Consider the following 26,443-nt stretch of genomic DNA (forward strand, 5'->3'; position numbering starts at 1 on the left):
AACTTTTTCGTAACAGGCTATAAAAATGAACTTCTTAGCCCTGACAGTTACTAGGGATATCATTGGTTTCCATTAACTAACAATGTTGGGCAAGTCATTTGGTAATACAAGTTATGTACTAATCATTTACTTTTTTTAGACAGAGTCTCTCTCTCTGTCACCCAGGCTGCAGTGCAGTGGGGCAATCTCGGCTCACAGCACCCTCTGCCTCCTGGGTTCAAGCAATTCTCGTGCCTCAGCCTCCCGAGTAGCTGGTACTACATGCATGTGCCACCTTGCCCTGCCAATTTTCGTATTTTTTAGTAAAGATGTGGTTTCACCATGTTGGCCAGGTTGGTCTCGAACTCCTAGCCTCAAGTGATCCACCAGCCTCAGCCTGGGATTACAGGTATGAGCCACTGTGCCCAGTCTCATTTACTTTTTTTAAAAAGGGAAGAAGGAAAAAGACTGAAACTCTTAACATCCATAAGTGCCCATTGATTGATAGAGGGGGAAGAAAAAGGAATATTTTAAAATATAATTATTGGCCAGGCACAGTGGTTTACACCTGTAATCCCAGCACTTTGGGAAGCCAAGGCAGGCGGATCACTTGAGGCCAGGAGTTTGAGACCAGCCTAGTCAACATAGCGAAACCCCATCTCTACTGAAAATACAAAAAAATTAGCGGGGCATGGTGGCGCCAGTCTATAATCCCAGCTTAGTGAAGAGGCTGAGGCCGGAGAATCACTTGAACCCGGGAGGCAGAGGTTGCAGTGAGCCAAGATCGCACCACTTCAGTCCAGCCTGGTAGACAGAGTGAGACTCTGTCTTAAAAAAAAAAAAATATATATATATATATATATATATGCCTGTAATCCCAGCACTTTGGGAGGCTGAGGTGGGCAGATCACGAGGTCAGGAGATCGAGACCATCCTGGTTAACAAGGTAAAACCCCATCTCTACTAAAAACACAAAAATTAGCTGGGCGTGGTGGCGGGTACCTGTAGTCCTAGCTACTCGGGAGGCTGAGGCAGGAGAATGGTGTAAACCTGGAAGGTGGAGCTTGCAGTGAGCTGATATTGTGCCACTGCACTCCAGCCTGGGCAACAGAGCAAGACTCTGTCTCAAAAAATAATAATAATAATTTAAAAAAAAAAAAAAAAATATATATATATATATATATATACACATATAATTATTGCAGAATACTCCAAATTAGATTTTCAGTCACTATCATGCAGAACTGAGTAGGTTATCAAAAAAATCAGTACTAAATAATTACATAACCTTAGAAAATTAAAAAGTACCATGGAAATTTAAAGTACAACATGAAAACTGTGCAGAAAAATCAACATTCACCAGAGAATTATCTATAGCACACTGTATCAAACTCAAGTAAAGTCCTATACCAAAAATCGAAGAGAAAAAAAAATTAAAATATAAACCTGTTGGTTGCCATGAAGTAAGAAGTCTGTGCTAAGTCCTTGCTTGCTAAAGAAAAAAAAAAAAAGTCAGGGGTGGGGGAGGAAAAAAGTTATTAGTTCCATTCATTCTCAACAAATATTTAGTAAGCATTTAATATTTGCAAGGTACTGTGAATATAGTGGCAAATGAGACACACATGGTCCCTGTAAACCTGACGTTTACATTCTGCCAAAGTAGACAGATCAATGATTTTTAATTTTAACATTAATAACTATGCTGCTTCCAGATCTAGGTACTCAAGCTTTATTCTGCACACCACATATCTGAGGTACTTGTTTAAATGCAATTCTTGGACCTGCTCCCTAAAATTTAATTAAATGTTTGGAGAAGGGTGCAAGCATTTTTTAACAAGTAACCCAGAGATTCTGATGTAAGGATTCACTGAGAATCACTAAACTACAGGATGAACTAAGATGATCTAGAAGCAAGATCAGAATCTAGAAGACTTTGACATATTTGGGAAAAGTGACTTTTGCTGTTAAGAAAGTTTTTAATTAAGGCTGGGCACGGTGGCTCACGCCTGTAATCCCAGCACTTTGGGACGCCGAGGTGGGCGGATCACCTGAGGTCCAGAGTTCAAGACCAGCCTGACCAACATGGAGAAACCCCGTCTCTACTAAAAATAAAAAATTAGCTGGGGTGGTGGCGCATGCCTGTAATCCCAGCTACTCGGAAGACTGAGGCAGGAGAATCGCTTGAACCCGGGAGGCGGAGGTTGTGGTGAGCTGAGATCGTGCTACTGCACTCCACCCTGGGCAACAAGAGCAAAACTCCGTCTCAAAAAAAAAAAAAAGTTTTTAATTAAGTAGCCCTAATTAAGATTTAATTAATTAATCCCCAAATCATCAAATAATGTAATATATTACAATGAAAAAATTTAACTTCTTCCAAAACAAACTGTTCTGGGTGACAAAGCAAATTTTTATCTTCCTCAGGACATAGTCTTCTCAATATTAACATACACCCATCTCTAGTCTTATCCTTGTGCAATATAACATTTTAATACTTTCAAATATAAAGAACTCAGGAAAATTTGGGAATTTTCACAGGAAACACATATTAGTAAAATGTAAAATAAGACCAATTATCAGTTTGGCCTAAAAATCATAAAAGGCACTTAAAGGCACAATAGTGTTCAGATATTCTTGATACTAAACTAAATAAGAGAGTTTCATTCAATTATACCTAATATTGTTAAATTAGAATTAAAAAGAAAAGTTCTGCCAAGGGATTGTATATCATGGAAAGTCCAAATAAATTCTGTATGATCCTCTAGGTGGCCTTTAATCAACCCCAGAATTAAAATAAGATCACCCACTCCTCACAACTTTCATAAAATTTCTGTTAAATAACTTCACAAACTGCCCAACTTTGACAAACATTCTCAAGAGGTTAGTTCTCTTTAACTAGAGATCATCTAAAAATATTACTTGTAAGAACCCAACAGAAAAACATCAAGTCAGAACAACTCATTTTGATTTAAGCCAAGTAGGCCTTTAAATTTAGCCAAAGCAGAACTATTATGTATTGTCCACCACAAACCACAACCTCTAAATGGGAAAACAGCTTGAGATAGTCTTCATAAGCTGGGATTCCTTACCTCGAACAAGTTGAGTGCACTTTACTACATGAGTATGTGGGTGATCAATTGTTAGTTCAAAGCCTTAAAAGAAAAAGTAATGGATTAAAAAACTATTAAGAAGTTTACATTTTACAAATTATTGTAAAAGGATAACTGATTGTAAATTACACCTTACTGGTTTCCACACTAAAATATTAATAGAAATTTATTCCACCAGAAAAACATCATTGTCCCATGAAATATAATTTGAAGATATTTTAAGAAAAAAGTTAACTAGAGGCTGGGCGCGGTGGATCAAGCCTGTAATCCCAGCACTTTGGGAGGCCGAGGCGAGCGGATCACAAGGTCAGGAGATCAAGACCATCCTGGCTAACACGGTGAAACCCTATCTCTACTAAAAATACAAAAATTTAGCTGGGCGTGGTGGCGGGCGCCTGTAGTCCCAGCTACTCTGGAGGCTGAGGCAGGAGAATGGCGTGCACCCAGGAGGCGGAGGTTGCAATGAGCCAAGATTGTGCCACTGCACTCCAGCCTGGGCGACAAAGCAAGACTCCGTCTCAAAAAAAAAAAAAAAAGAAAAAGAAAAAAGTTAACTAGAATAAATTGAGAGATAAACTTTGAAGAACTCATCATATATATATATGTACAAAAAAAATTGTGTCTACGCCAATAACTTTGACGTACAACTCATGAAATCTTACCCTACCTAGAAGAGAAAAATGATAGCCCAAAAGAACCAGGAAAAAAAAAATCTGTATTTTCATATTTTCTAAACTTCTAAAGGCAGCCTGTGTGATGAAAATAACAGATAATAACACAATATCATCAGAGTTGCCCATGCAACCACTAAAGCTTAAGTTCCCCCACTTTCACTCTGCTGTTCTAAACACTAGTTACCAATTTTAAAAACAAATGCTGTTACAGGCCATAACAATCCACGGAAGGAAAAACATTCTTTAGATAGTTTTTATAATTTTTGGGGGTAAAAATCACCAAAACTTAAAAAGCAAATAACCCTAGAATGAAAAAAATAATAACCCACTGGCTGCTGTTTCAAAGGTCAGCTGTACTACCTGCATTCACTCTATGGAACAGGTCAAAGCTAAACTCAGGTCTACAACCTCTATCATCTGGAAACAGAGGGACACTACAAAAACTTTCCCAAGAAATATTCTTCCTATATAGCAAATTTTTAGAATCAAATCATTTTATTGCATAATTTAAAAAAATGTTTCAAAGGAAAATAAACTTACCTAAAGTCTGCAAAATTATGCTTTCTAAAATGACCAGATCTTGAACTTGTTGCAAATAAGCCTAAAAGTGAGAAGACAGAAATTATTCCCTACAAAGGCACAATATATAAAGTATAAACAATTCTAACAATCCCTTCCAGGGAAACCAAAACAATAAAAGGCATGAGTGGAGTTAGGAGGTAGAGTTAAGAACTGAAATACAATCTTTTTTTTTTTTTTTTTTTTTTTTTTTAGACAGAGTCTCCCTCTGTCACCCAGGCTGGAGTGCAGTGGTGTGATCTCGACTCACTGCAACCTCCACCTCCCTGGTTCAAGCAATTCCCCTGCCTCAGCCTCCCAAGTAGCTAAGATTCCAGGCGCGCAACACCACGCCCGGCTAATTTTTTTGTGAAATACAATCTTTATCCCTTATGCCCATTCAGTACACATTTTCTTTAAAAAATAAATAAATAAGTAGTATGCTGAGAGGTAACAGTTTATATATGGCTACAGAAAAAGCACCATATATTTGGTTCATTTTCAGGTTAATATTTAAGTTTTATGGTTCATGTGATTTAGAGAAAAGAAAATTAAAAGTATGTATTTTTTGCTTTTCTTTTTTCTTTTTTTTTTGAGTTGGAGTTTCGCTCTTGTTGCCCAGGCTGGAGTGCAATGGCACAATCTCGGCTCACCACAACCTCTGCCTCCCGGTTCAAACAATTCTCCTGCCTCAGCCTCCCGAGTAGCTGGGATTACAGGCATGCACCACCACACCCAGCTAATTTTGTATTTTTAGTAGAGACGAGGTTTCTCCATGTTGGTCAGGCTGGTCTCAAACCCCCAACCTCAGATGATCCGCCCACCTCGGCCTCCCAAAGTGCTGGGATTACAGGCGTGAGCCACCGCACCCGGCCTTTTTTTTTGAGAGGGAGTCTCGCTCTGCTGCTCAGGCTGGAGTGCAGTGGCGCGACCTCGCCTCACTGCAACCTCTGCCTCCCAGGTTCAAGCGATTCTCCTGCCTCAGCCTCCCGAGTAGGTGGGATTACAGGAGCCCACCACCACGCCCGGCTAGTTTTTGTATATTTAGTAGAGACGGGGTTTCACCATATTGGCAAAGCTGGTCTTGAACCCCTGACCTCAGGTGATCCACCCGCCTCAGCCTCCCAAATTGCTAGGATTACAGGCATGAGCCACCGCGCCTGGCCATAAAGTATATATTTTTCAACATCACCAAAATACATTTGCAGAACCTTCCTACAGTACTGTAAGCATTTAATACCAAACATTTGGCTCCTATTAGAACTTCCCCTTTGGGGCCATGTTAGGTTTCTAAAAAGTAACAGAAGAGTTCAAAGGAAAAGGTAATAAGAAAATTCACTCAGATTTGTGCCAGCCAAAGCTATAGCCACTAGCCACATGTAGCCATTCATCACTTGAAATGTAGCTAAATTGAAACGTGCTATAACCATAAAATACACTGGATTTTTTAGACAGTTAAAAAATAAAGAATGGGCCGGGTGCGGTGGCTCACGCCAGTAATCCCAGCACTTAGGGAGGCCAAAGCAGGTGTATCACGAGGTCAGGAGTTCAAGATCAGCCTGGCCAATATGGTGAAACCCTGTCTCTATTAAAAATACTAAAAAATTAGCTGGGTGTGATGGTGGGCGTGAACCTTGGCTTGTTCCATAGAGTGAATGCAGGTAGTAATCCCAGCTATTCAGGAGGCTGAGGCAGAGAATTTCTTGAACCTGGGAGGTGGAGGTTGCAGTGAGCTGAGATCGCACCACGGCACTCCGGCCTGGGTGACAGAGCGAGACTCCATCTCAAAAAAAGAAAAAAAAAATGTAGCTAGGCATGGTTGCTCACACCTGGAATTCTAACACTTTGGGAGGCCAGTATGGGAGGATTCTTTGAAGGCCAAGAGTTCAAGACCAGCCTGGGTAACATGGTAAGACCCCTATCTCTACAAAAAAATAAAAATTAACTGGGAGTGGTGGCACGCAGCTATAGTCCTAGCAACTTGGGAGGCTGAGGTGAAATGATCACCTGCTCTTTATGAGAATCTAATGCCTGATGATCTGTCACTGTCTCCCATCACCCGTAGATGGGACCATCTAGTTGCAGGAAAAGAAGCTCAGGGTGGCCGGGTGCAGTGGCTCACACCTGTAATCCCAGCACTTTGGGAGGCCAAGGCGGGCGGATCACAAGGTCAAGAGATCGAGACCATCCTGGCTACAATCTTGCCACTGCACTCTATCCTGGGCAACAAAACGAGATTCTGTCTCAAAAAAAACAAAGCTGGCTGGACATGGTGGCTCACGCCTATAATCCCAGCACTTTGGGAGGCTGAGGCAGGTGGATAACCTCAGGTCAGGAGTTCGAGACCAGCCTGACCAACATGGAGAAACCCCGTTTCAACTAAAAATACAAAATTAGCCGGGTGTAGTGGCACATGCCTGTAATCCCAGCTACTCGGGAGGCTGAGGCAGGCAAATCGCTTGAACCCAGGAGGGGGAGGTTGCGGTTGGCTGAGATTGCACCATTGCACTCAATCCTGGGCAACAAGAGCAAAACTCCAACTCGAAAAAAAAGTTAAAAAAAAAAAAAATAGTGAAACTACTCATTTAAGGATCCATAATAAAAATGTATAATAATATTTTTCAGCCAGGTGCAGTGGCTCACGCCTGTAATCCCAGCACTTGGGAGGCCAAGGTGGGCGAATTACTTGAGCTCAGGAGGTCGAGAGCAGCCTGGGCAACATGGTGAAACCCCATCTCTACAAAAACTAGCTGGGCATGGTGGCGCACACCTATAGTCCCAGCTACTCGGGATGCTGAGGTCAGGGGGATCACTGAGCCCGGAAGGTCAAGGCCGCGGTGAGCCATGATCACACTACTGGACTCCAGCCAGGGCAACAGAATGAGACCCTGTCTCCAAAAAAAAAAAAAAGAATATTTTTCATAACATTTATAGTGATTTTAAAAGCTAGAAATTATCTAGACTTCTTCATGGAGAATTGTTAAAAATACATACATTCACATATATATCATTAAATACTAGCCAGACATTTTTAAAAAGTAGAGAATCCATCAGATGGGAAAATATTTGGGATATAGTAAGCAAATGAAAACAAACCAGAGACAAAATACATGCACACATAGCTATCTATAGAAAAGAAGCCACAAATAACAGTGGTTCATTAGTATACCTGTGCTTCAGTTGTCTATATAACAGGGGGTCCATGGCCTGTTATGAACTAGGCCACACAGCAGGAGTTGAGCAGCAGGTACGAGTGAGTGAAGCTTCATCTGTATTTATAGCCTCTCCCCACCATACATATTGCCACCTGAGCACTGCCTCTTGTCTGATCAGCAGTGGCATTAGATTCTTATAGGAGCACTTGAACCCTGTGGTGAACTGCCCATGCAAGGGATCTAATTTGCTGCTCTTTATGAGAATCTAATGCCTGATGATCTGTCACTGTCTCCCATCACCCCCAGATGGGACCATCTAGTTGCAGGAAAAGCACCTCAAGGTGGCCGGGCACAGTGGCTCATGCCTGTAATCCCACCACTGTGGGAGGCCAAGGCGGGCAGATCACAAGGTCAAGAGATCGAGACCATTCTGGCTAACATGGTGAAACCCTGTCTCTGCTAAAAATACAAAAATTAGCTGTGTGTGGTGGTGCACACCTGTAGTCCCAGCTACTTAGGAGGCTGAGGCAGGAGAATCGCTTGAAACCGGCAGGTGGAGGTTGCAGTGAGCCGAGATTGCGCCACTGCACTCCAGCCTGGCGACAAGAGCAAGATTCCGTCTCAAAAAAAAAGAGATGCTCAGGGCTCCCACTGATTCTACGTTATGGTGAGTTACGTAATTATTTCATTATGTATAACAATGTAACAATAATAGAAATAAAGTGAACAATAAATGTAATGTGCTTGAATCATCCCAAAACCATCTCCAACCCCACCCCCTGTCCATGTAAAAACTGTCTCCCATGAAACCAGTCCCAGGTGCCAAAAAAGGTCTGGGACCATTGGTCTAGAATATATCTGAGAGATATTTTATTCTTGAATTTTTCTGTATTTTCAAATTTTACTGCAACAAATACAAAACTTTCGCCATAAAATTTATGTGTTTTGTTTTTCAGACAGAGTCCTGGCACTGTTGCCTGCAGTGGTGTGATCATGGCTCACTGCAGCCTCAACATCCCATGCTCAAGCAACCCTCCCACCTCAGTCTCCCAAGTAGCTGGGACTAAAGATGTGAGCCAGCATGCCCAGTTGTTTTTTGTTGTTGTTGTTGTTGTTGTTTTTCTTTTTTTGTAGAAATGGGGTCTCACTTTGTTGCCAGAGCTTGTCTCGAACTGGACTCAAGCAATTCTCCTGCCTCAGCCTCCCAAAGTGCTGGGATTACAGGCATGAGCCACCACATCTGGCTTTTTTTTTTCTTTTTTTTAAATATAGAGACAGGGTCTTGCTATGTTGTCCAGGTTGGTCTTAAACTTCTGGCCTAAAGTGATTCTCCCACCTTACCCTCCCAAAGTGCTAGGATTACAGGTATGGTGAGCCACCATACCTGGCCTGATTTTCTTACTGTTAAGAAAAACACAAACACTAAAATATTCTTTTAACAACACCAATCTAAACTTCAATAAATCGAAGTTATAAAATTAAGTTGCATTGAAATACATAAAGATCCAGGCATGCTTGGGAGTAGGGAAAAAAAAAGAAAGGAAAAAAATTAAGAAAAACAGATGTGTAATTAATCTCCTACCTCACTTCTAGTATCAGGAAGGGATTCCTGAGGATGGAGACAAGTATGTGCTACCTTGATGACATGTTCCAATTTTTTGGGCTGCTCCTCCACTTTAGCTGCTAGAAACAAGGCTGCTGGAGCCACAGACTGAATGGAGAGAAAATAAATCATATTTATTATCAATTTATTCATTCATAGAGTAAGGTAGATCTAAAGAGGAGCTAAGTCTCAAATCAAGTTATTTGCTTGCCTCAACTTTGTCACCTCTTTACCCTTTCCCGCCCCCCCGCTTCTACCATCTTCCCCTCTCCTACCCATTAATCCATCTCCACTTCCAAATACCAATTCTTTGACAAACTGTCATTAAAAGCTGTCTATGGGAGAAGCTACTAGATGTAAGCAGACAGTTTTCTATTTAAAGTGAGATTCTTTATTAAGTTTGTATCAAATCACTCAATACATTTTTTAAGGAGTAAACTGAAATGTCCAGAATACGCAAATCCATATAGAGAAAAAGTTTAGTGGTTGCCAGGAGCTGCGGGGAGAGGAGTATAGGAATAACTGCTAATAGGTGAGGAGTTTTCTGGGGTGATGTAAATGTTCTGCAATTAGACTGTGCTGATGGTTGCACAATTTTGCGCATATACTAAAAACCAGTGAACTATATAATTTAAACAAACGAATTTCATTGTACGTGAATTATATCTCAATTACTTATACATATCGAACCTTTCAAAAATACAAAGCATGGCATTATATGCAAGACATTATTTATAGAAAGCATTAAGAGGGAAAAATTGAAGTCAATATAAAAGTAGATAACAAACTTTATAAAAGATTAAAGCAATATGACATAAATGTAGCCTGGTGATCTTGGAAACTTCAGGAAATAGAACTTTTCTTGAATATTAAGAACATTTCAGTGACTCAAAGATAGTAATGCTAAGAGCTGTATTTCACCAGGAGTCAAAGAAATACATAAATAATTTTACAGAATTTAAATATATATTTCATTTTACTGACTAGAACTGATATTCTAATACTTATTTGTAACCCTGATGTCACCTATGCTATACTTTTCTAGAGTAAGTTTTTCTCCACAAATTCAACTCATAGTATTGATTTCAGACAAGACCATAGGAGACAAAAATAATTTAAAACAAAATTTTTTTAGGCCAGACACAGTGGTTCAAGCCTATAATCTCAGCACTTTGGGAAGCAGAGGCGGGGGATCACTTGAGCCCAGGAGTCCGAGACCAGCCTGGGCAACATAGTGAGAGAGACTCCATCTCCATACACATACGGAAAAAACTGTTTTAAGTAAACACAGTGATTCTTTTCCTTCACATTTGTTTCAGATGAATATGAAGCATACTACATATATATTCCTCAGACTTTAGGATAAACAAAACAGGATCAGAGAAAAATGGATATGAACAAAGGTATGGTGATCTAGGCGTAAAGCACATTTTCAATACTAAACTGAGTAGTTAAATACATTAGATAATCGGATGTGGAACACTAGATTTTTTTTCTTTCTTTTTTTTTTTTTTTTGAGACAGCATCTCACTCTGTCACCCAGCTGCAGTGCAGTGGCGTCAAAATCACAGTTCCACTCAACCTCCTGGGCTCAGGAGATATTCCCATCTCAGCCTTCGAAGTAGCTGGGATCACAGGCACACGCCACCACACCCAGTTAATTTATTTTTATTTTTAATAGAGATGGGGTCTCCCTACATTGTCCAGGCTGCTCAAACTCCTGGGCTCAAGTAATTCTGTCTCTGCCTCCCAAAGTCCTAGGATTACAGGTGTGAGTCACCTCACCCAGCCAAGATTCTTAACAAGAGTGACACTAAAGATTTTGAAAAATATCGTTTAAGAAATGTTTATGATAAATGTATATAACTATTATGTACCCATGATAATTAATAAAAATAAATTTTTAAAACAAAGTAATATTTAGAAGGAGTAATCTGATGGTAGGTAAAACTAGGAGAAAAGGATGGGATACATTAAAAGTTAATTCAGGCTGGGTGTTGTGGCTCACGCCTGTAATCCCAGCACTTTGGGAGGCCGAGGTAGCGGATCACTTGAAGTCAGGAATTCAAGACCAGCCCGGCCAACATGGTGAAACCCCGTCTCTACTAAAAACACAAAAATTAGCCGGGCGTGGTGGCACACACCACCACTCAGGAGTCTTGTAGTAGGGTAGTCCCACCTACTCGGGAGAATTGCCTGAACCCAGAAGGCAGGGGTTGAAGTGAGCCAAGATCATGCCACTGTACTCCAGCCTGGGCAACAGAGCCATACTGTCTCAAAAAATAAAATAAAAGTTAACTTAAATAATAATTTAGGCATTAGGACATAAAGTTTAGAGCACTTTGGGAGGCCAAAGCAGGAGAATCACTTGAGCCCAAAGTTCAAGATCAGCCTGCGTAACACAATGAGACCCTGTCTCTGTTTTTTAAAAATTATTTTAAAATATAGAAAAAAGAATTTTAAAAAGTTTAGAGTAGGCCGGGCGTGGTGGCTCACGCCTGTAATCCCAGCACTTTGGGAGGCCAAGGCAGGCAGATCACCTGAGGTCAGGAGTTCAAGAACAGCCTGGACAACGTGGTAAAACTCCATATCTACTAAAAATACAAAAATTAGCCAGGAGTGGTGGCACACGCCTTTGGTCCCAGCTACTTGGGAGGCTGAGGCAGGAGAATCGCTTGAACCCAGGAGGTGGGGGTTGCAGTGAGCCAAGATCACGCCATTGCACTCCAACCTGGGCCACAGAGCGAGACTCTGTCTCAAAAAAAGAAAAAAAAAAAAGTTTAGACACTAGCAGTAGAAATAAAGGAAAAAAGAAACACAGGCATCACTTTGTAAAACTAATAGGGCTGCACTAAATATATGTACATGTACTTGCATACAAAGAAAAAATTCTAATGGGATATACTCTAAAATGTTAACAGGATTATCTCTTTATTTCCTGTCCGTCCTCTTCCAATTTTTTGATAATTTAAAAAGTACATATTTATAAGGAGAGGGAAAAAATGGTAACATTATAAAATTAGCAAGACTTTATAGGCTGGGTGCAGACTCTTGCCTATAATCCTAGCACTTTGGGAGGCCAAGGCAGGAGGATCCCTTGAGCTCAAGCCTGAGCAACATAGCAAGACCTCATCTCTACAAAAAATCAAAAGGAAAATTCACTGGGCGTGGTGGCACTGTAGTCTTGGTAAGGTGGAAGGATCACTTGAGCCCAGGACATGGAGGCTGCAGTGAGCTATGATTGTACCACTGCACTCCAGCCTAGCCTAGGTGACAGAGTAAAAACCTATCTTGGGGTTGGGGGGGACTATAACTAACTGAACAAAGGGGAAAAGGACAAGTCAAAGACTAAGGTTTTAAGCCTATTAGAAACTAAAAGTATGGCATAAACTAATAAAACCAAAATAAAACTAAACTAAATTATGGCACCACTGCACTCCTGGGCAACAGAGGGGACTCCGTTTCAAAAACAAAGAACTAGATAAATGTTTCTTGAGGTAATTAATATTTGTTGTTTGTTAGGGTGGAAAGAAAAGGACCCTCACCTACAGTGCTGGAAACAATGTATAATCTTTCAGTAGGGCAAACTGACACTACAAAAATTTTTATACATTGTATACTCTGGGCACAGCAATTCCACCTATAGGAACTTGTATTAAAATGCTTATATAAGTGCACTATATATGTACAAGACTATCCCATGAAACATAATGTACAATATAATAAACTAGAACAACAACCCAAATAGCTATCAATAAAAAGCTGGTTAAATAAACTACAGTAACTACACAAATACCATGTGGCAAATTAAAATAATAAGAAATCCAAAAAATAATAAAGGGAAGTATGGAAAGATGTCCAATACATACTGTTACATGATAAAGGCAAGCTGTGCAACAGTAGCATAGCAAGATATGATTTTTTAAATAAAAATACCTCAATGCTAGTTTATGTGCACAGAAAAATGTCTGGGTCACTATAAACCAAACATTTATCAATGGTTATCTCTGGGTGGGATTACAGAGTAGTTTTCACTTTCCACATACATTTCTGTACTGTCTTAATTTTTACCATGGGAATTTATTATAATATCTTTGGGTTTCTTCATTTTTTTTTTTTTGAGATGGAGTCTCACTCTGTCACCCAAGCTGGAGTGCAACGGCACGATCTCAGCTCACTGCAACCTCCACCTCCCGGGTTCAAGCAATTCTGCCTCAGCCTCCCAAGTGAGTAGCTGGGACTACAGGTGCACGCCACCATGCCCGGCTGATTTTTGTGTTTTTAATAGAGACGGGGTTTCACCATGTTGGCCAGGATGTTTTCGAACTCCTGACCTCAAATGATCCACCCAACTCGGCCTCCCAAAGTGCTAGGATTACAGGCCTGAGTCAACACGCCCAGCCTCTAATACCTTTGTAATAAGAAAAACACACACACACATACAAAAATGCCTGAGGACTTGACAGGATATATAACATATCAATGCCACATTGATTATTAGGCCACATTTAATGTATTAAGTCCTCTCACATTTAAATTTGGATTCATCACAGCTAAACTTAGAATTAGTATGTTAAAAGGTGATATTAAATCTGGAATCTGTTGATTCCAAAATGTGCCTAAAATCAATCCTCTAAAAAGGATCAACAACTTCAAATTAATCAGTGGATTTTGAAAAAGGTCATGACATCCAAAAGAATATCCCTATACTAGCCAGGTGCAGTGGCCCATGCCTGCAATCCCAGCACTTTGGGAGACTGAGGTGGGAAGACAGCTTGAGGCCAGGAGTTTGAGACCAGCCTGGGCAACAGAGCGAGATCTCCCGTCTCTAAAAAATAAATATATATAAAAATGTTTGAAAGAATATCTCTATATTGGATAACTACCAGATCATCCATTCATTCAATAAGTTTACTGAAACTGCTTTAGAGAATATACAGAAAAGGGAATCTCTGTCCTTGTTAAGCTTAACAGATAAGAAATAAAAAGATATGGCCTGGCACAGTGGCTCATGGCTATAATTCCAGCACTTGGTAGGCCAAGGCGGGTGGATCGTGAGGTCAGGAATTCAAGACCAGGCTGGCCAAGATGGTGAAACCCCGTCTCTACTAAAAATACAAAAATCAGCTGGGTGTGGTGGCAGGCGCCTGTAATCCCAGCTACTCGGGAGGCTGAGACAGGAGAATTGCTGGAACCCAGGAGGCGGAGGTTGCAGTGAGCTGAGATCGCGCAGCCACTGCACTCCAGCCTGGGGGAAAGAGAGAGATTCCAGGTCTCAAAAAAATAAAAAAAGATATAACTTAAAAGATAAGGCTGGACGCGGTGGCTCACACCTGTAATCCCAGCACTCTGGAAGGATGAGGCGGGCAGATCATAAGGTCAACAGTTGAAGCCAAGCCTGGCCAACATAGTGAAACCCTGTCTATACTAAAAATACAAAAATTAGCTGGGTGTGGTGGCGGGTGCCTGTAGTCCCAGCTACTTGGGAGGTTGAGACAGGAGAATCGCTTGAACCTGGGAGGTGGAGGTTGCAGTGAGCTCAGATGGCGCCATTGCACTCCAGCCTGGGTGACAGAGTGAGACTCCATCTCAAAAATAAATAAATAAATATATAAATAAATAAAAGTTAAAAGGAGGGGAAAATATATATTAACCTATACATGAAGAGTGGACAAACTGATTTGAGAGTTTCTTTTTTTGATTTGAGATTCACTTCACCCCAAATTTCAAGTCTTTATCATAATAAAAGGGAAGAATTATAGAAAACCTTCAGAACTGGCAAAATGGCTAGGAATTTCCTCTTCAAATTTCACTTTTTAACTACTCACTACCTTCTATTCTGGTGCTATCAGATAGCCTCGTTAAATGCTAACAGGCTTCTCTCTCTTTTAATAAGAAGGATATACTCCTTGCAATCAGAGCCAGAGCAAAGCTCCAGGGCATGACTAGAGGTACAGGGGCTAAGGGCAGAAGAAAGCCAACCTGGGTGGATCATCAGCAAAAATCTTTTTCTTTTTGTTTTGAGACGGAGTCTCATTCTGTCGCCCAGGCTGGAGTGCAGTGGCACGATCTCGGCTCACTGCAAGCTCCACCTCCTGGGTTCATGCCATTCTCCTGTCTCAGCCTCCCGAGTAGCTGGGACTACAGGCGCCCACCGCCACGCCCGGCTAATTTTTTTTGTATTTTTAGTAGAGACGGGGTTTCACCATGTTAGCCAGGATGGTCTTGATCTGCTGACCTCGTGATCCGCCCATCTTGGCCTCCCAAAGTGCTGGGATTACAGGCGTTGAGCCACGGCACCTGGCCCACAAAAATCTTAATTCACAAATCCAAAAAGTTTCCTGTGCAGTTACTCCCAATACTGTTTCTGCCAGTTTCTTACATTTCAGGAGCTATGTCTAGCTTCATAAACTCTCTTTCTACAGCATTAAAAAAGTAATAATAAATCTGAAAACCCACCATTCTAAGGATACGAAATAAGCATCCTCAAAAGCATAATCTTTTTCTTTTTGAGATGGAGTTTCGCTCTTGTTGCCTAGGCTGAAGTGCAATAGCGATCTCGGCTCACCACAACCTCGGCCTCCCCAGTTCAAGTGATTGCCTCAGCCTCCTGAGTAGCTGGGATTACAGGCATGAAACTCCACGCCTGGCTAATTTTTGTATTAGTAGAGATGGGGTTTCTCCATGTTGGTCTCAAACTCCCGACCTCAGGTGATCCGCCCGCCTCAGCCTCCTAAAGTTGTGGGATTATAGGCTTAAGCCACCGTGCCCAGCAGGATAATCTTTTCCTTAAAAAAAAAAAAAAATAAAAAAAAAAAAAAAAAAAAAAAGCAGGGAAATACTTGACTCACAAATCCATTTGAAGTATACAGCCGGTGCAGTGGCTCACACCTGTAATCCCAACACTTTGGGAGGCTGAGGCGGGCAGATCACCTGAGGTCAGGAGTTCAAAACCAGCCTGGCCAACGTGGTGAAACCTCGTCTCTACTAAAAATACAAAAATTAGCCAGGTGTGGTGGCACATGCATGTAATCCCAGCTACTTGGGAGGCTGAGGAAAGAGGATTGCTTGAATCTGCGAGGCGGAGGTTGCAAAGGGCCAAGATCGTGCCATTGCACTCCATCCTGGGCAACAAGAGCGAAACTCCATCTCAAAAAAAAAAAAATCAATCCATATGAAGTACTCATCAAGTTTATCCCTATTACCTTGGCGTTTTATTAAGTAAATACAGTCCTTCCTAGAACTGGGATATCACTATGCATTCAATTCCAAGTCATTTATAATAATGTTAAATAGGACCATTTCAAATAGCTACACTGAAAAGATCACTATTTATAATTCTGTACAAAAAAATAAAATTTCTTTATTAGTATAATTTTATTCTTCCTGTTCTTTGTAAAATTTTTTTTACCTTTTTTTTTTTTTTTGTAGAAACGGGGTCTCACCGTGTTGCCCAGGCTGGTCTCCAACTCCTGGGCTCAATCAGTCCTCCCACCTGAACCTCCCAAGGTGCTGTGATTATACATAAGAATGAGCCACCATGCATAGCCTATTTTTCATGTTCTTAAAAGTCATTTTCCCAGTTATTATTACATAATGTGCTTTCCCCTCCAACTGCTGACTGGAATTTTATCAAAGGCTTTTGGAAAATCTAAGTAACTTACATTTACTTCTTTTGCTGTGACCATATTTTATAAACTACTTCAAAATTAATGCCAGGAATGGCGGCTCATGACTGTAATCCCAACATTTTAGAAGGCGGAGGCGGAAGGATCCCTTGAACCCTGGAGTTTGAGACCAGGCTGGACAACACAGGGAGACCCCATCTTCACAAAAAAAATTTTAAAAATTACCAGATATGTTGGCAAGCCTGTGGTCCCAGTTACTTGGGAGGCTACGGCAGGAGGACTGCTTGAGCCCAGAAGGTTAAGGCTGCAATGAGCCATAATCAAATCACTGCATTCCACCATGGACAACAGGGCAAGACCCTGCCTGTCTCCCTACCCCAGCAAGAAAAAGAAAGCTATACCTAAATTCCACATGATTTCCCCTTTAATGTTACTCCTCCAACCCCAAAATGTTGACTTTAGATGTCTGATAATCTGTTTTTTGGGGTTTTTTTTGAAGACAGGGTCTCACTCTGATGCCCAGGCTGGAGTGAAGCGACTCAATCTTGGCTCACTGCATCCTCAACTCCCTGAGTTCAAGCAATCCTCTTGCCAGCTGCTGGAGTAGCTGAGACCACAGATGCATACCACAACACCCAGCTACTTGCTTTTTGTTTTTGTTTTTGATATTTTGTAGAAATGAGGTCTCATTATGTTGCCCAGGCTGGTTTTGAACTCCTGGGCTCAAGTGATCCTCCCATCTCAGTCTCTCAAAGTGCTGGGATTACAGTTGTGAGCCACTGCACCCGGCCTAATCTACTTCTTTAGAGAATCGACATGGATATACTAAATCCACTAGACAAGTAGACACTTAACAGGAAAACTGAAAAGCTGGATTCAGAACAGCAACACAGCACATAATGGAAGTGATCAACCCTAAATTCTAAAGTTCAAGTTACAGTTCAGTAGCAAAGACCAACCACAAATGGAATAGGTAGGTGGAATCAATCACAAAAGGATTATATCATATAAAAAAATTATACTTACATTTCCAGGGAACTGTGTGAAGGACTGAATCATGTAGAATCGATGCATGTATACTATAGCAGTGTTGATAGTCAATTGTGAGCTGAAGTGTTCAAGTTAAGATCCAAAAACAGGCAGGTATAATTCTGGAAAAGATAACCTCTATCTCCCTCCCAAAAGGATGAAATGGCCAAGCAAGTAGATACTACTAAATGAAAATCATACTTATCTCTCCAAATCAAAGAATATGTCTGTTTTCTTTCACCAAATTATTAATCGCCAACTGACACTTAGCACAATGCCTTACACATAACAAATATTTAATATAAATGTACTGAATGAATAAACAAACATCTCAGGATGTATGAATCTAGACAGATTTTTTTAAAAACTATATAAGGCGGCCAGGCGCGGTGGCTCACACTCTGTCGCCCACACTGGAGTGCGGTGGCACCATCTTGGCCCACTGAAACCTCTACCTCCCAAATTCAAGCGATTCTCCTGCCTCAGCTTCCCCAGTAGCTGAGATTACAGGCGCCCACCAACAGACCTGGCTACTTTTTGTATTTTTAGTAGAGACATGGTTTCACCATGTTGGCCAGGCTGGTCTTGAACTCCTGGCCTCAACTGATCGACCTGCCTTGGCCTCCGAAAGTGCTGGTATTACAGGCGCGAGCCACCGCGCCTGGCTGACAACCTTAATGACAACACACATACAAAAAGGAAAGCATTTTAAGGATGCACTGAAATAGAATTTCGAACAAAAAGATTTAACTCCATACTGACAGGATGCTTAGGAAACAAACCTGGACATCAGCAGGAAACAAACTGGCGATAAAACAGACACCCATTTTGAGATGAACACACCCTTAAGATACACACATTACTGTCAGCCACACATTTAAATAGAAGCTGCACCCAAGAAAATTTTCACACGCAGAGTGGAAAGAAATTTAAAACTATACTAGTTTTCTCCACCATAAAATAAGTGTATTTCCTAACAAACAAAAATATGTGGGAGAGGTTACCTCATTTTTTTTTTAATTTTTTTTTTCTGAGACGGAGTTTCACTATTGTTGCCCAAGCTGGAGTGCAGTGGCGCCATCTCGGCTAACTGCAACCTCCGCCTCCCGGGTTCAAGCGATTTTCCTGCGTCGGCCTCCTGACTAGCTGGGATTACAGCTGCCCGCCACTACGCCGGGGTAATTTTTTGTATTTTTAGTAGAGACAGGGGTTTAATCATGTTGGCCAGGCTGGTCTCGAACTCCTGACCTCAGGTGATCCACCCGCCTCGGCCTCCCAAAGTGCAGAGATTACAGGCGTGAGCCACCGCATCCAGCCGTTACCTCATTTTTGAAAATGAAATACATATCATCACTCTAAGTAAGTTAAGGACCCGGTATTTTGTAAACTATTTAAAACATTAGATTCGTGGGTATCCCCTACAAACGTAAACTAACATCTTTCCTCTGAAATTCTATAAAACAGTAGCTACTAACTGAGCATCTGAATGCAAAGCACTGTGCTGGACACAGAATCAAACACAAGAGGTATTATCCCATTTTATAGACAAGACGGCCAAAAATTTGAGAGGTCACTTAAACAGCTAGTAGATGAGGAATGGATTTTGGACCAAGGCTGAGGCATTAATTCTAGTCCACCCTTTATAACACTTTCAGGTACTGAATTTCTCGAAATTTACACACTAGGTTTGGGAGGCAGCCGTCAACAGAGAAACCTCTGCCAGACCTAGACCCCTAGGGCACAGCGGAAAATGAGAATCTTAACGTCACCAGAGCAGATCAGAACACAATGAAGACAGAGTTGGAAGGGCTGGTTAAAACACAAAGCCGGGAAGGATACGAATTCCCAGCAAGGCTGGCGGCACGGGTGAGCGAGCGGGAAATCAACTCTGCCTCGCTTCCCTAGCGCTAACTGAGTTTCAGCCCGCCCCATCGTGGGCTCTCCCAACTAGACATCCAGCTTCTGCCCACCTTCTTCCCCACTTTCGTCCCCCCCACAGAGCCTGAGACCCGGACGCCAGAGCATGGCGGGACCAACTCCAAGGCCGAAGGCCTAGGCCACAAGGATACACGTTAAGACGCTGCCCCATGTCCTGAAGCAGATTGGCCGCCTGCTGGCGATAAGAAAGTTCTTTATCTGGGTCCACGCCAAAACGACGGGATGGGCTATTTTCCAGCTGTTCTCGAGTGAAATACCACCGTTTGTTGTTGTTCTTCCTCTCTCCCTCCATAGTGCTTCAACCAGAAGGCAGCGGCGAAGGCTGCAGGCACTTCCCAGCGTCACCTAAGAGGCGACCCACATCCGCTGTGCGGGGGCAACTGCGACTTGACGAACTTCCGCTAAGCGTCGACCGCCGGGTTGTTACTTGCCTCCGTAGAGGAAGCAAAAGTCAAAGGACCTACTTCCGGAATGCACCTCGCTACACCCCGTAGCCGAGTTAACAGCCAATATGCGACCAGAAAAAACCTTGAGGCGAGGACGCAGGCGCGTCACGTGACCGTTGGGCGGTGGAGTGGGGTTAGAAGTTCTTTCTTAAAAACCGTGTATCTTCCCGCGAGAACCGGATTGAGCGTTGGCGCCCCGGGTCAGGCTGCGAGGCCGCAATTATAGTGGGATGGGGCGGCCGCCCACGCGCCGCTTGGCGGTTCTTACGAGAACTTTGTTTGTGACGGCAGTGGTGATGTAAAATGGGGCAGATGGGCCGGGCGCGGTGGTTCACGCCTGTAATCCCAGCACTTTGGGAGCCCGAAGCGGGCGGATCACGAGGTCAGGAGTTCGAGACCAGCCTGGCCAATATGGTGAAACCCCCGTCTCTACTAAAAATACAAAATTAGCCGGCGTGGTGTCGCGCGCCTGTAGTCCCAGCTACTCGGGAAGCTGAGGCAGGAGAATCGCTTGAACCCGGGAGGCGGAGATCGCAGTGAGCCGAGATCACGCCACTGCACCCCAGCCTCCAGCCTGGGTGAGAAAGCGAGACTCCGTCTCAAAAAAATAAAATAAGTAAAAATGTGGCAGATGAACTTGAAAGAGAAAGTAGGTGAGGCTGTCAGAAACTGAAAAACAGAATCAAATGGTGGGGCTCTTTCGTATATCGGAGCATAAAGCAACTAGAAGGCTGTTACATTGTTGGTAGCAATGTAAAATGCGACAACCCATTTGGAGAGGTCGCTTTAATGTGTAGCCAAAGGCATGAAAACATTCTCACGTTGTTCGCCAGTGATCCAACTTAAAGGAATAAAATGAAATTAATAACATTAATTAAGAGCTTACATGTCCCAGGCACAATACTGACTTAAATATACTGTTTCATTTATTCAGCACAACTCTAAGAGGTAATTTTTAAGTACGTTTGCGAATGGGTGAACTAAAACTGCCCCTTGAGTGTGGAAAGCCTCCACCACTACCCCTCACTTGCACAGATTAGCAAGTTCTTGCCCTCTGTCAAAATATTTCCCAGCTCCTTTGCCGGGCGCGGTGGCTCAAGCCTATAATCCCAGCACTTTGGGAGGCCAAGGCGGGTGGATCACCTGAAGTCGGGAGTTCGAGACCAGCCTGGCCAACATGGTGAAACCTCATCTCTACTGAAAATACAAAAATTAGCCAGGCGTGGTGGCGCACGCCTGTACTCCCAGCTACTCGGGAGGCTGAGGCAGGAGAATCATTTGAACCCGGGAGGCAGAAGTTGCAGTGGGCCGAAATCGCGCCACTGCACTCCAGCCTGGGCAACATTGCGAGACTCCTTCTCAAAAAAAAAAAAAAAAAAAAAGATACATCCCAGCTCCAGCCTCTGATAACTGTTTGGTGCTGGGCAAGATAGTTAACTTCTCTATGCCTCTTTTCTGTGATAATACCTATGTTTTAGATAGTGAAAGGGAGTAAAGATTTAATGAGTAAAAAGTATTTATAATAGTACCTAGTACTTAGAAAATATTCAGTAGCCCTTATTGTTATAATATTTGTTACATTGTATTGAAATTGAAGGCAAGAGCAATGCCTTCATTTTTGTATGGCACTTACCTAGTAAAGCCCTGGCCCTAGTAAATAGTCCATAAATCTTTGTCAGATAAATGTGCAAAACACCCACAATACAGAAACTGAGGCTTTGGGAGTTTGCCCTCACTACACCACTAATAAGTGTAGATCTTAAATCTAATTCCATTGATCTTTCCATTCACGCAAGCTGTATTCCTGCTTTTCTGGAACCATATTCAGTTTACCTTGATTAAATATGGGTAATTTTAGATAGATTTGGATAATATTAGAATCCTTCATCTTGCTTTGATAATATTTTGGGTTTTGTCATTTCTAGGCATGGGTGATCTTACTATGCTTGATTGTCATTCATTCTCAGAAGTATTTCTTTCCATTCAGGTCACCTCTGCCATATACTGCCTGTAGTTAGTATTAGCTCCATTTTACCCTGGAGAAATTGAGGTTCAGGAAGATTTAAATGACTTACTTCTAGTTATAAAGTAAAAGAACTTGGGATTTCAAATTTCTTCCCTCACAGACTCTTTACTATTAAGAGAATAAGCACTTACAAAATAGATTTTTTAGTAGAATAAGCACTTTTTCAGTTATGTAGTCATGTATGTTATCTTTTGAACAGCTGTGTTAGTCCATTTTCACGCTGCTGATAAAGACAAACCCAAGACTGGGCAATTTACAAAGGAAAGAAGTTTAATGGAGAACTCACAGTTCCACGTGGCTGGGGAAGCCTCACAATCATGGCGGAAGGCAAGGAGGAGCAAGTGACATCTTACATGGATGACAGCAGGCAAACAGAGAGCTTGTGCAGGCAAACTCCCATTTTTTTAAAACCATCAGATCTCATGAGACTCATTCACTATCATGAGAACAGCACAGGAAAGACCCACCCCCATAATTCAATCACCTCCCACCGGGTTCCTCCTACCATATGTGGAAATTGTGGGAGTTGCAATTCAAGATGAGATTTGGGTAGGGACACAGTGCCAAACCATATCATTCCGCCCCCAGCCCCTCCCAAATCTCATGTCCTCACATTTCAAAATACAGTCATGCCTTCCCCACAGTCCCCCAAAGTCTCAACTCATTTCAGCATTAACTCAGAAGTCCACAGTCCAAAGTCTCATCCGAGACAAGCAAGTTCCTTCCACCTATGAGCCTGTAAAATCAAAAGCAAGTTAGTTACTTCATAGATACAATGGTGGTACAGGCATTGGGTAAATACAACCATGCCAAATGGGAGAAATTGGCCAAAACAAAGGGGCTACAGGCCCCATGCAAGTCCGAAATCCAGCAGGGCAGTCGAATCTTAAAACTCCAAGATGATCCCCTTTGACTCCCTGTCTCACATCCAGGTCACACTGATCCAAGAGGTGGGTCCCCATGGTCTTGGGCATCTCTGCCCCTGTGGCTTTGAAGGGTACAGCCTCCCTCCTATCTCCCTTTCCAGGCTGGCATTGACTGTTTGTGGCTTTTCCAGGTAAATGGTGCAAGCTGTCAATGGAGCTACCATTCTGGGATCCGGAGGACCATGGCCCTCTTCTCACAGCTCCATGAGGCAGTGGCCCAGTAGGGATTCTGTGTGGGGGCTCCAACCCCACATTTCTCTTCCACACTGCCCTAGCAGAGATTCTCCATGAGTGCCCTGCCCCTGCAACAAACTTCTGCCTGGGCATCCAGATGTTTCCATACATCTTCTGAAATCTAGGCGGAGGTTCCCAAAGCCCAATTCCTGACTTCTGTGCACTCACAGGCTCAACACCATGTGGAAGCTGCCAAGGCTTGGGGCTTGCACCTCTGAAATCACAGCCCAAGCTCTGTGTTGGCCACTTTCAGCCATGGCTGGAGTGGCTGGGATGCAGGGCACCAACTCCCTAGGTGGCACACAGCACACATGGGGACCTTGGGCCTGGCCCACGAAGCCATTTTCTCCTAGACCTCTGGGCCTGTGATGGGAGGGGCTGCCATGAAGGCCTCTGACATGCCCTGGAGACATTTTCCCCATTGTCTTGGGTATTAACATTCAGCTTCTCTTTAGTTATGCAGATTTCCTCAGAAAATGGGTTTTTCTTTTCTATCACGTCAGGCTGCAAATTTTTCAAACATTTATGTTCTGCTTCCCTTATAAAACTGAATGCTTTTAACAGCACCCAAGTCACCTCTTGAATGCTTTGCTGGTTAGAAATTTCTTCGGCCAGACACCCTAAATCATCTCTCTCAAGTTCAAAATTCCACAAATCTCTAGGATGGGCAAAATGCTGCCAGTCTGTTTGCTAAAATATAACAAGAGTCACCTTTGCTCCAGTTCCCGACAAGTTCCTCATATCCATCTGATACCACCTCAGCCTGGACCTTATTGTCTATATCACTATCAGGCTTTTGGTCAAAGCCATTCAACAAGTCTCTAGGAAGTTTGAAAATTTCCCACATTTTCCTCTCTTCTTCTGAGCCCTCTAAACTGTTTCAACTTCTGCCTGTTACCCAGTTCCAAAGTCACTTCCACATTTTTGGGTATCTTTTCATCAACACCCCACTCCTGGTACCAATTTACTGTATTAGTCCATTTTCACACTGCTGATAAAGACACACCCAAGACTGGGCAATTTACAAAGGAAAGAGGTTTAATGGAGAACTCACAATTCCACATGGCTGAAGGCAAGGAGGAGCAAGTCACATTTTAAGTGGATGGTGGCAGGCAAAGAGAGAGCTTGTGCAGGCAAACTCCCATTTTTTAAAAACAATCAGATCTCGTGAGACTCATTAACTATCATGATAACAGTGCAGGAAAGACTTGCCCCATAATTCGATCACCTCCCACCAGTTTCCTCCCACGACATGTGGGAATTGTGGGAGTTACAATTCAAGATGAGATTTGGGTGGGGACATAGAACCAAACCATATCAATAGCCAAGATCATTTATTCCAGATTCCTGTTGTCTAATTTTCTGACCTGTGCTTGGTTCTCCACTTAATCTCTTGGATTAATGACTCCATATTGAGTCTGCTATCTTGGTTAAGTATGCCACTCTTTAGGGCATACATTAACCTTTAGATACATTACTCTTAAAGAATAATTGACAAAATCCTAAACCAGAGGAATTTTCCTTTTTTAAAAAATGTAAATATTACTCCATTTCTTTTAAGCCATACCTATAGGGCTACTCCTCCTATTTACTAGAGACTAGTCTTGTTCTGGGTATAGGATTCTACCATATTTCATGGTGTTTTGGGTTTGTCTGTTTTTTTGTTTTGTTTTTTGGATGGAGTTTCACTCTTGTTGCGCAGGCTGGAATGCAATGGTGTGATCTTGGCTCACTGCAACCTTGACCTCCTGGGTTCAAGCAATTATCCTGCCTCAGCCTCCTGAGTAGCTGGGATTACAGGCATGTGCCACCATGCTCAGCTAATTTTGTATTTTTAGTAGAGACGGGGTTTCTACATGTTGGTCAGTCTGGTCTTAAACTCCCGACCTCAGGTGATCCACCCACCTCAGCCTCCCAAAGTGCTGGATTACAGGTGTGAGCCACCGCACCTGGCCGAAGTTTTGTTTTTATTATTTTTAAATTTTTATTTTTTCTGTGAAACAGCTTCAGAAGGTCCTAAGAATGTGCGCCCCTCTTTTTTTTTTAGAGATGGGATCTTGCTATGTTGGCCAGGCTGGATTCAAACTCCTAGGCTCAAGTGGTCCTCCCACCTCAGCCTGCCAAATATCTAGGACAACAGGCACATGCCACCACATCCAATTAGATAATAGCTTTTAAATACTGGAACAATATGTCAAATTTTTGTGCTAGCAACAATGTAACAATGTAATGGCTTTAGACATGACATACTTTTTTTTTTTTCTGAGACAGACTCTCACTTTGTCACCCAGGCTGCAGTGCAGTGGCACAATCTCGGTTCCCTGCAACCTCACCTCCCAGACTCAAGCAATTCTCCTGCCTCAGCCTTCTGAGTAGCTGGGATTACAGGCCTACACCAACACACCTGGCCAATTTTTGTATTTTTAGTAGAGATGGGGTTTCACCATGTTGCCCAGGGTGGTCTTGAATTCCTGGCCTCAGGGGATCCAACCACCTCGGCCTCCCAAAGTGCAGGGATTACAGGCGTAAGCAACCACGCCCAGCCAGACATGATACAGGCTTTAAAACTTAATCTGAATTATTAACATTTTCTCTATCACTTCCTTAAGTTCAGACAATCAACTAAATGAATAAATCAAGCTTTGTTTGTAACATTTGCCAATTTCTGTGATATAAATCCTCCCACCATGCCTGATTTCAATATGCCCATATGACATCACTGATCATAAAATTGGGAAAAGAGGCACACACCATCACATATTATTTTCTCCAGACAGATAAAATAGATAGGGCGTTCCAGTTTCCAGTCTGACAGGTAAAGAGCTTGGAAGTCATCACTCCCATTTTCACAAGAAGGAAAAAGCCAAACAAACTGAAACTTAACAACCCTTCTTAGACCCTTCAGAGAATCAAGGTTCCAGGGCCAACCTTCACCCCAAAATCTGGAGAAACATTTGGACTCAAAATAGGTGGAACACAGAATCATGACTTAGTTGGAAGAAAAGCTACTACTGGAACCAGCAACTGGTAGAAATACTTATAGGGCAATTGACTAATTGCTGGAGACTGAACATGGACTAGCTTGAGATATTTTTTAAAACTCCTAGAGACCCAGTGTTAAGCAGTCCCCCACATTTTTG

At 42.3% G+C, this 26,443-nt stretch overlaps 1 protein-coding gene across 6 annotated transcripts in view, besides 5 other annotated features; it reads right to left on the reverse strand.

Moving 5' to 3' along the window:
- CCNT1 (cyclin T1) overlaps positions 1–19,995 on the reverse strand; it is a 28,250-nt gene extending 8,255 nt beyond the window's left edge. For 3 of the 6 annotated variants that reach the window (NR_182118.1, NM_001277842.2, NM_001240.4), the window contains exons 1-6: positions 19,803–19,995; positions 17,731–17,812; positions 9,056–9,184; positions 4,301–4,361; positions 3,066–3,128; positions 1,426–1,471 (exon numbers count right to left, since the gene is read on the reverse strand). Coding sequence is in view for 5 of the 6 variants with exons in the window: in NM_001277842.2 (NP_001264771.1) it covers positions 1,426–1,471; positions 3,066–3,128; positions 4,301–4,361; positions 9,056–9,184; positions 17,731–17,812; positions 19,803–19,963 (542 nt within the window). In the remaining variant the exon portion in view is untranslated. Of the gene's footprint in view, positions 1–1,425; positions 1,472–3,065; positions 3,129–4,300; positions 4,362–9,055; positions 9,185–15,535; positions 15,865–17,730; positions 17,813–19,572 lie in introns of those variants that run through there. The other 3 variants (NM_001413198.1, NM_001413199.1, XM_017020197.3) reach the window with 3 other exon arrangements.
- Positions 2,880–3,080: a silencer, noted in NCBI's record as "peak1722 fragment used in MPRA reporter construct". NCBI's record gives its function as "represses an SCP1 promoter by STARR-seq MPRAs in K562 erythroleukemia cells {active_cell/tissue: K562}" and the evidence as "EXISTENCE:reporter gene assay evidence [ECO:0000049][PMID:32103011]".
- Positions 4,040–4,240: a silencer, noted in NCBI's record as "peak1723 fragment used in MPRA reporter construct". NCBI's record gives its function as "represses an SCP1 promoter by STARR-seq MPRAs in K562 erythroleukemia cells {active_cell/tissue: K562}" and the evidence as "EXISTENCE:reporter gene assay evidence [ECO:0000049][PMID:32103011]".
- Positions 19,760–20,039: an enhancer, noted in NCBI's record as "active region_6286". NCBI's record gives its function as "activates an Ori minimal core promoter by ATAC-STARR-seq in GM12878 lymphoblastoid cells {active_cell/tissue: GM12878}" and the evidence as "EXISTENCE:reporter gene assay evidence [ECO:0000049][PMID:35858748]".
- Positions 20,110–21,110: an enhancer, noted in NCBI's record as "H3K27ac hESC enhancer chr12:49110605-49111605 (GRCh37/hg19 assembly coordinates)". NCBI's record gives its function as "activates a minimal SCP1, AML or CMV promoter by ChIP-STARR-seq in primed H9 embryonic stem cells {active_cell/tissue: H9 hESC(primed)}" and the evidence as "EXISTENCE:reporter gene assay evidence [ECO:0000049][PMID:30033119]".
- Positions 20,510–20,749: an enhancer, noted in NCBI's record as "active region_6287". NCBI's record gives its function as "activates an Ori minimal core promoter by ATAC-STARR-seq in GM12878 lymphoblastoid cells {active_cell/tissue: GM12878}" and the evidence as "EXISTENCE:reporter gene assay evidence [ECO:0000049][PMID:35858748]".

Source organism: Homo sapiens, chromosome 12 (assembly GCF_000001405.40).
Source record: "Homo sapiens chromosome 12, GRCh38.p14 Primary Assembly".
In the NCBI taxonomy this organism is placed as follows: Eukaryota; Metazoa; Chordata; class Mammalia; order Primates; family Hominidae; genus Homo; species Homo sapiens.